At 54.9% G+C, this 9,426-nt stretch overlaps 1 protein-coding gene across 1 annotated transcript, besides 2 other annotated features; it reads left to right on the top strand.

Annotated features, from left to right (window-relative positions):
- Positions 473–1,746, top strand: CLDN3 (claudin 3). The gene has a single exon (NM_001306.4). It carries the CDS (start codon positions 694–696, stop codon positions 1,354–1,356), a length of 663 nt encoding a protein of 220 aa, NP_001297.1. The 5' UTR covers positions 473–693; the 3' UTR covers positions 1,357–1,746.
- Positions 7,925–8,502: an enhancer, noted in NCBI's record as "H3K27ac-H3K4me1 hESC enhancer chr7:73176571-73177148 (GRCh37/hg19 assembly coordinates)". NCBI's record gives its function as "activates a minimal SCP1, AML or CMV promoter by ChIP-STARR-seq in primed H9 embryonic stem cells {active_cell/tissue: H9 hESC(primed)}" and the evidence as "EXISTENCE:reporter gene assay evidence [ECO:0000049][PMID:30033119]".
- Positions 8,503–9,080: an enhancer, noted in NCBI's record as "H3K27ac-H3K4me1 hESC enhancer chr7:73175993-73176570 (GRCh37/hg19 assembly coordinates)". NCBI's record gives its function as "activates a minimal SCP1, AML or CMV promoter by ChIP-STARR-seq in primed H9 embryonic stem cells {active_cell/tissue: H9 hESC(primed)}" and the evidence as "EXISTENCE:reporter gene assay evidence [ECO:0000049][PMID:30033119]".

Below are 9,426 nucleotides of genomic sequence, written 5' to 3'. Positions count from 1 at the left end.
GGCAGAGCAGCAGGTGCGCGGCTCCTGCAAACAGCCGCGGCCACGCCCACCCTGGTCCTCCCCGCCCCGCCGTTCCGGGGTAATTGGCAGCGCCCCCATCCCCACGCGGCACGTGCCAAAAGCGCCCAAAGTGGTGAGGAGAGAGAAGCCGTGTCAAATTCTTTGGGATTTGCACCCCAAGCCCCTGACGCATCCCGTCCTCGGTTTTGCCCCGGAGAATTCATTCCCGAGCAGAGAGGGACAAGGACCGAGGGGCGGGGGCTGGGTCAGGTCCCGCCCTTCCTTGGCAACCCCCCTACCCCGGCGTTGTGGGCCGCGCAGGGCCAAGTCCTTCCTCCCAGGACGCTCGGTGAAGGTGGGAGGCAGGGGCCACGTCACTGTCCTTAGGCCCTGGAGAGCGCGGCTCCGCCCCTACCGCCCCCACCGGAGCGCTGGGCACTTAGCTAAGACGCACCGGCCCCAGCCCAGGGCCAGCCCAGTCGCCGCCGCCCGCCCACAAAGCCACAGGCAGGTGCAGGCGCAGCCGCGGCGAGAGCGTATGGAGCCGAGCCGTTAGCGCGCGCCGTCGGTGAGTCAGTCCGTCCGTCCGTCCGTCCGTCGGGGCGCCGCAGCTCCCGCCAGGCCCAGCGGCCCCGGCCCCTCGTCTCCCCGCACCCGGAGCCACCCGGTGGAGCGGGCCTTGCCGCGGCAGCCATGTCCATGGGCCTGGAGATCACGGGCACCGCGCTGGCCGTGCTGGGCTGGCTGGGCACCATCGTGTGCTGCGCGTTGCCCATGTGGCGCGTGTCGGCCTTCATCGGCAGCAACATCATCACGTCGCAGAACATCTGGGAGGGCCTGTGGATGAACTGCGTGGTGCAGAGCACCGGCCAGATGCAGTGCAAGGTGTACGACTCGCTGCTGGCACTGCCACAGGACCTTCAGGCGGCCCGCGCCCTCATCGTGGTGGCCATCCTGCTGGCCGCCTTCGGGCTGCTAGTGGCGCTGGTGGGCGCCCAGTGCACCAACTGCGTGCAGGACGACACGGCCAAGGCCAAGATCACCATCGTGGCAGGCGTGCTGTTCCTTCTCGCCGCCCTGCTCACCCTCGTGCCGGTGTCCTGGTCGGCCAACACCATTATCCGGGACTTCTACAACCCCGTGGTGCCCGAGGCGCAGAAGCGCGAGATGGGCGCGGGCCTGTACGTGGGCTGGGCGGCCGCGGCGCTGCAGCTGCTGGGGGGCGCGCTGCTCTGCTGCTCGTGTCCCCCACGCGAGAAGAAGTACACGGCCACCAAGGTCGTCTACTCCGCGCCGCGCTCCACCGGCCCGGGAGCCAGCCTGGGCACAGGCTACGACCGCAAGGACTACGTCTAAGGGACAGACGCAGGGAGACCCCACCACCACCACCACCACCAACACCACCACCACCACCGCGAGCTGGAGCGCGCACCAGGCCATCCAGCGTGCAGCCTTGCCTCGGAGGCCAGCCCACCCCCAGAAGCCAGGAAGCCCCCGCGCTGGACTGGGGCAGCTTCCCCAGCAGCCACGGCTTTGCGGGCCGGGCAGTCGACTTCGGGGCCCAGGGACCAACCTGCATGGACTGTGAAACCTCACCCTTCTGGAGCACGGGGCCTGGGTGACCGCCAATACTTGACCACCCCGTCGAGCCCCATCGGGCCGCTGCCCCCATGCTCGCGCTGGGCAGGGACCGGCAGCCCTGGAAGGGGCACTTGATATTTTTCAATAAAAGCCTTTCGTTTTGCACTCGCTGGAGCCTCCTTGTTCCCAGCGCCTCCACCTCCCTGCAGAGCTCCCCCTCGGGGCGGCCTTGGCTGGATCTCGCTCTCCCGGATGGAGCTTAGAGGGAAGATGGGGTTGTAAGCTGAGCTTGGTGATGGCGGGGTGGTCACTTGCCCACTCCCTGGGGATTCGGAAGACAGCCTGTGAGGCCAAAGCCAGCGCCCAATCTAGGAAGCAGGCATGAGCACTTTCCGCACGCCATGGCTGGGGATGGGAGGGGAAGGTGGCAGAGATGTGCCCCTGGGTCTGTGCTGGGAGCCCGGACCCCGCACAATACCCGACACATTCGGAATCTCCCGTGCGCCTTGTGAAAGAGCGCATTCCGTACTGCCATTTCCTATTGGAAAAACGAAAACAAAAAGACCTATTGTTTGGATAAAACACGCCACCAAAAGTAAAACCGGGCCAAATCTTCTCACCTGGGGGAGAGATGAGAAAGGGTCCCCATCTCCTTCCTGGGACCCTCAAGGGAGGGAAAGAGGGAGGACTTAGAAGGGGTATCTCAGAGGGGCTTGAGGCCGGGTCTCACTGGCTCACTCCTAGAGGACGAGGTGGGAGGCTCGCTTGAGCCCAGGAGTTCGAGACCAACCTGGGCTACATAGCAAGACCCTATCTCTACCAAAAAAAAAAAAAATTAACTGGGTATGATGGCATACACCTGTGGTCCCAGCTACTCAGGAGGCTGAAGCAGGAGGATGGCTTGAGCCCAGGAGGTAAAGGCTACCGTGAGCTATGATTGTGCCACTGCACTCCAGCTGGGGCAACAGAGTGAGACCCTGTCTCAAAAACAACAACGACAAAACACACACACACACACACACACACACACACACACACACACCCCAGAGGAGTGGTTAAGGTGAACAGTGTGGAGAGGCACTGGTGCCTTGGAGAAAACACAGGAGATTCAGGCGGGAAAAGGGGCCTGAACCCAGGCACAGGGTGACTTGGTGGGGGCGAGAGATTCAAATGACTGGATGGAACATAAAGGGAGACAGGAAGTGTCAGTAAAGCCCAGGACTCCAGCAAGCAAAGGCCAAGTCATGGAGAGTCCGTATGTGGAATTACAAACTTTGAACCTTACTCTGGGTGTAGGGAGTCATGAAAGGGGAAGTACCTGGTCAGATGCTTTTAACCTCTCCAGCAGCCCCTGTGGAACTGGGATTCAAGGAGAAAGATAAAGGAGGGGAACCACCTAACAGGATATGCCGCCATCTTGGAGTGAAATGATGGTGGCCAGAAATTAGGCAGGGGCAGGGAGTGGGGGCAGAACCTGACAGGGGCTGTTAAAGTGGGCAGGACCCGGGAGCCATTTGGATGTGCAGGGTGAGAGAGGCGAGAATCTAGAAAAGAAGGCTGGAATCTGGGAGTTTCAACTTAGGTCACTGATTGGATAGTGGTATCATTTACCAAAATAGGAGACGGAAAGATGATGGGTTCCATTTTGAACGTATAGAGTTTGGTGAGGCCAGGGCATGGTGGCTCACGCCTGTAATCCCAGCACTTTGGGAGGCCAAGGCTGGAGAGTATCTTCAGCCTAGGAGTCCGAGACCAGCCTGGGTAGCATAGTGAGACCCCATCTCTACAAAAAAATTAAAAATTAGCTAGGTGTGGTGGTATATGCCTGTAATCCCAGCTACATGGGAGGCTGAGGTGGGAGGTTTACTTGAGCCCAGGAGATTGAGGCTGCAGCGAGTAGAGAATGCACCACTGCAATCCAGCCTGGGCGACAGAGTGAGATCTTGTCTCAAAAAATAAATAAATAAAAATAAAATAAATGTAGAGTTTGGCGAGTCTGGAGAACGTCCTGGCAGAGACGTCCAGGAAGTAGGATGACGTCTAGAGATCTCGTAAACCTGAAAGTCGTTGCATAGGGATGGCAACCGAAACCAGGGTCGGGGAAGAAGTCAGTCTAGAAACTCACAGAACAAAAAGAGTTTCAAGGAGGTGGGTGTGGGCAACAGTGTCTGAGGTTGCAGGAGTGGTCAGGCAAGATGAGACCTGAGGAATAGCCACGGAATTCACAGTAGCCAGGTGGTCATTGGTGGCCTTAGCAAGAGGTGTGGAAACGGAAACACTAGATGGAAAAGGGAGTGGGAGGCGAGAGTTGAAACCAGGAGCCGTAGACAATGCGTGCAAGAGATTTGCATAGAAAGGGAATTGTGGCTGGGAGCAGTGGCTCACGCTTGTAACCCCAGCACTTTGGGAGGCCGAGGCGTGGCAGGGGTTGGGGTGAGGGGGATAGCTTGAGCCCAGGAGTTCAAGACAAGCCTGGCCAACATGGTGAAACCCCAACTCTACTAAAAATACAAAAATTAGCCAGGCATGGTGGTGGGCACTGTAGTCCCAGTACTTTGGGAGGATCACTTGAGGTCAGGAGTTCGAGACCAGCCTGGTCAACATGGTGAAACCCCATCTCTACCAAAAATATTAAAAATTAGCCGGGTGTGGTGGCACACGCCTGTAATCCCAGCTACTTGGGAGGCTGAGACAGGAGAATTGCTTGAACCCAGGAGGCAGAGGTTGCAGCAAGCCGAGATCGCACCACTGCACTCTAGCCTAGGTGACAGAGACAGACTCTGTCTTAAAAAAAAAAAAAAAAAAAAAAAAAAGTAGGGGGGTATTGTGGCTGGGGGCAGTGGCTCACGCTTGTAATCCCTGCACTTTGGGAGGCCAAGACGGGAGGATCACCTGATGTCAGGAGTTCAAGACCAGCCCTGCCAACATGATGAACTGGTTGCAGTGAGCTGACATCTCACCGCTGCACTCCAGCCTGGGCAGCAGAGCGAGACTCTGTCTCAAAAAAAAAGAAAAGAAAGGGACTTGTAGGTCGAGCCAGCAACTTGAAGGGAAACGAGGGTTGCACATGTATTTGGGCACTGGGGAGACTTGAAATTTTTTTTTTTTTTAGACAGAGTCTCACTCCATCACCCAGGCTGGAGTGCAGTGGCGTGATCTGGGCTCACTGCAACCTCCACCTCCTGGGTTCAAGCAATTCTCCTGCCTCAGCCTCCCAAGTAGCTGGGGTTATAGGTGTGTGCCACCACACCTGGCTCATTTTTTGTATTAGTAGTAGAGACGGGATTTCACCACATTGGCCAGGCTGGCATCAAACTCCTGATCTCAGGTGATCTGCCTGCCTGGGCTCCCAAAGTGCTGGGATTATAGTACAGGCGTGAGCCACTGCGCCTGGCCCAATTTTTTTTTTTTTTTTTTTTTTTTGAGACAGAGTGCAGGCTGGAGTGCAATGGCGAAATCTCGGCTCACCGCAACCTCCGCCTCCCAGGTTCAAGCGATTCTCCTGCCTCAGCCTCCCAAGTAGCTGGAATTACGGGCATATGCCACCATGCCTGACTAATTTTGTATTTTTAGTAGAGACAGGGTTTCTCCATGTTGGTCAGGTTGGTCTCAAACTCCCGACCTCAGGTGATCCGCCTGCCTCAGCCTCCCAAAGTGCTGGGATTACAGGCGTGAGCCACCATACCCAGCTGGCCTTTTTTTTTTCTAAATTATTGTATCTCAAATGTTTTGGATACTGGGCATGATGGCTCATGTCTGTAATCCTAGCACCTTGGGAGGCCAAGGTGGGAGGATCATTTGAGGCCAGGAGATTGAGACCAGCCTGGACAATATAGCAAGGACCCCATCTCTACAAAAAAATTTAAAAGTTAGCCAGGCATGGTGGTGCATGCCTGTAGTCCCAGTTACACGGGAGGCTGAGATGGGAGGATCACTTGAGCCAAGGAGTTCGAGGCTACAGCAAGCTATGATTTCACCACTGCACTCCAGCCTGAGTGACAGGCTGTCTCTAAAAACACAAACACAAACACAGCCTGGGCAACATAGCAAAACCCCATCTCTACAAAGCATACAAAAATTAGCTGGGCGTGGTGGCAGGCACCTGCAATCCCAACTAATCGGGAGGCTGACGCAGGAGAATCGCTAGAACCCGGGATGCGGAGGTTGCAGTGAGCCGAGATCGCACCACTGCACTCCAGCTTGGGAGACAGTGAGACTCCATCTCAAAAAAAAAAAGAAAAAAAAAATCAGCCGAGTGTGGTGGCATATGCCTACAGTTTCAGCTACTCTGGAGGCTGACGTTGGAGGATCACCTCAGCCTAGAGAGGTCAAGGCTGCAGTGAGACATGATCACGCCACTGCACTCCATCCAGCCTGGGTGACAGAGCAAAACCCTGCCTCAAAAAAATAAATAAATAAATAAATAAACAAATAATTTAAAAAAATACAAAAAAATGTTTTTGGCTGCAGCAAAGCTAAAGCAAAAAGGGCAAAAGATCCCTGTGGCAGCTAGCTGGGACTACAGGCACACACCACCATGTCCAGCTAATTTTTTTTTTTTTTTTTTTTAATGAGACGATCTTGCTCTTGTCACCCAGGCTGGAGTACAATGTCGGGATCTTGGCTCACTGCAACCTCCACCTCCCGGGTTCAAGCAATTCTCCTGCCTCAGCCTCCCAAGTAGCTAGGATTACAGGTGCCCACCACCATGCCTGGCTAATATTTTTGTATTTTTAGGAGAGACGGGGTTTCACCATGTTGGCCAGGCTGGTCTCGAACTCCTGACCTCAGGTCATCCACCCGCCTCGGCCTCCCAAAGTGCTGGGATTACAGGCATGAGCCACCACATCTGGCTAATTTTTTGTATTTTTTGTAGAAACGGGGTCTCACCATGTCGCCCAGGCCCCTTTCAAATCCCTGGGCTCAAGGGATCCTCCAGCTTCGGCCTCTGAAAGTACTGGGATAACAGGCATAAGCCACCATGCACAGCCTAGATTTCATGGTAGAACGTTCCAGTTAACTCCAGAAAAATTCCCTTCCAGTTAAGAAACACCAACGTATAGTCACCCCTAATGACCCAAGGAAGAGAAAGTGGGTTACTATTAATAGCAAGGAAGGCTGGGTGCAGTGGCTCATGCATGTAATCCCAACGCTTTGAGATGCCAATGCAGGTGGATCACCTGAGGTCAGGAGTTCGAGACCAGCCTGGCCAACATGGTGAAACGCTGTCTCTACTAAAAATACAAAAAATTGGCTGGGCACGGTGGCTCACGCTTGTAATCCCAGCACTTTGGGAGGGGGAGGCAGGCAGATCACGAGGTCAGGAGATCGAGACCATCCTAGCTAACGCGGTGAAACCCCGTCTCTACTAAAAATACAAAAAATTAGCTGGGTGTGGTGGCGGGTGCCTGTAGTCCCAGCTACTCGGGAGGTTGAGGCAGGAGAATGGCGTGAACCCGGGAGGCAGAGCTTGTAATGAGCCGAGATCGCACCACTGCACTCCAGCCTGGGCGACAGAACGAGACTCCGTCTCAAAAAAAAAAAAAAATTTAGCCAGGTGTGGTGGCTGGCACCTATAATCTCAGCTACTCCAGAGGCTGAGGCAAGAGAATCGTTTGAACCCAGGAGGGAGAGGTTGAATGAGCCAAGATCGAACCACTGCACTCCAGCCTGGGCGACAAGAGAGAAACTCTGGCTCAAAAAAAAAAAAAAAAAAAAGGTCAAGCGTATGGTGGCTCACACCTATAATCCCAGCACTTTGGGAGGCCGAGGCGGGCGGCACAGCAAGACAAAAAAAGGAAAGGAGAGGGGAGGGGAAGGGAGGGGACAGCCGGGTACGGTGGCTCACACATGTAATCCCAGCACTTTGGGAGGCCGAGGCGGGCGGATCACCTGAGGTCAGGAGTTCGAGACCAGCCTGGCCAACATGGTGAAACCTCGTCCTACTAAAAATACAAAAATCAGCCAGGTGTGGTGGCGGGCATCTGTAATCCCAGCTACTCGGGAGGCTGAGGCAGGAGAATTGCTTGAATCTGGGAGGCAGAGGTTGCAGTGAGCCGAGACCAAGCCATTGCACTCCAGCCTGGCAACAAGAGCAAAATTCCATCTCAAAAAGAAAAAGGAGAAAGAGAGAAGGATGGGAGAGAGAGAGGAGAGAGAAGGGGGGGGCAAGAGAGAAGAGAGTGAAAGTGAGAGAGAGAGGAAGGAAAGGAAAAGAAAGAGAGAAAAAGAAAGATGGGGGAGGGAGAGAAAGAGAAAGAAAGAAGAGAAAGAGAGGAAGGGAGAAAGGAAAGGAGAAAGGGAAGGAGGAAAAGAGAGAGAAAGAGGAAAGGAAGAAAGAGAAAGAGAAAGAACGAAAGAAGGGGAAAGAAAGAAAGGGAGGAAAGACAAAGAAAAAAGAAAAAAAAGGAAGGAAGGAAAGGAAAGAAAGAAAGGGAGGGAAAGAGGGAGGGAGGAAGAGGAAGAGATAGAGGGAGGGAGGGTAGAAGGGAGGGAAAGAGAGGGAAAGAAAGAGAGGGAGGGAGGGGATGAGGATGAAAGGATGGGACTGGAAAAGGGGTGGGGCTCAGCAAGGGGAAGGGCTCCAAGAGGGAAGGGGGCTTAGAGATTGGAGGGGGCTCAGTGAAGGGGCCGGGCTTAGTGAGAGGAAAGGATGGGAGAAGGAGGTCGCCTTAGACAATGAAGGGGCTTAGGGAAAGGAGATGGAGGGAACCGAGAGGAGGTTTCTCTGGGTCTGTCTGGGATGGGATTTGCAGGCATGGGCAGAGGACCAAGGGGTTGCATCTGCCTCCACCCCCAGCAGTCCCTGGCCAGGAGAGCCGGGGAGCCATGGAGGCAGGGGCAGGGTTATTCATTTACCAGCAGCTTCAAGAGAGCAGCCTGGACGCCATCCCTCCTGGCTACACTGTGAGGCCCAGGTCTCGCCTGCCTCCTTAGCCCACCCCAGCAACCCCAAGCCAGGGGGATGTGGCAGAGAAGGGAGACAGATCCAATCCCCAATGGCAGGGCTCCCAGGCTTCAGAGTCTCCCCTTGTCTCTCCCAACACCTGGGCACCCCTGGGGCCTCCTGGGGGAGGGATGGGGGAAGGGAGGTATCCTACTCCATCCTACAGCTTCCCCCATGTGCACACACATCTGTGTCTGGCTTCAGGTCCATCCTAACTTCTTTTTTTTATCCTTTCTGGAGTCTAAGGCCTAAGCGGAGGTGGCGGAGCTGGTAACACAGAGACCACAGCTGAGCAGGGTCCCAGGTAAAGGGTTCCAGGAAATCTTCCAACAGCCAGAGAAGAGAAAGGCATTTGGCATCAGGAAACACACCCCAGGCGGGAGTCAGAAAACCTGATCACTCTAGGTGCAGCCTGGCCACTGCTTTCCTGTGTGGCTCCAAGAAAATCCCTTCCCCTTCCAGGTCTGTTTCCCCATCTTTTTTTTTTTTTTTTTTTTGAGACAGAATCTCACTCTGTTGCTCAGGCTGGAGTGCTATGGCGCGATCTCGGCTCACTGCAACCTCCGTCTCCCAGGTCCAAGCAATTCTCGTGCCTCAGCCTCCCAAGTAGCTGGAATTACAGGCATGTACCACCACACCTGGCTAATTTTTTGTATTTTTAGTAGAGATGGAGTTTCACCATGTTGGCCAGGCTGGTCTCAAACTCCTGACCTCAAGTGATCCTCCCACCTCAGCCTCCCAAAGTGCTGGGATTACAGGTGTGAGCCACCGCACCCAACCTCCCATCATTTCTTTTTTGTTGTTGTCGCTGTTGTTTTTGAGACAGGGTCTCACTCCATTGCCCAGGCTGGAGCACAATGACATGATTATGGCTCACTACAGCCTCTACCTCCTGGGCT

The sequence above is a fragment of the Homo sapiens genome, chromosome 7 (assembly GCF_000001405.40).
Source record: "Homo sapiens chromosome 7, GRCh38.p14 Primary Assembly".
Classification (NCBI taxonomy): domain Eukaryota; kingdom Metazoa; phylum Chordata; class Mammalia; order Primates; family Hominidae; genus Homo; species Homo sapiens.
Note: the sequence above shows the minus strand (reverse complement) of the source record. Positions and strands in the feature narration are given on the sequence as shown.

What these genes read in the sequence shown, in the direction of transcription:
- CLDN3 (NM_001306.4), top strand. Translation starts at nt 694, where the DNA reads ATGTCCATGGGCCTGGAGATCACGGGCACCGCGCTGGCCGTGCTGGGC.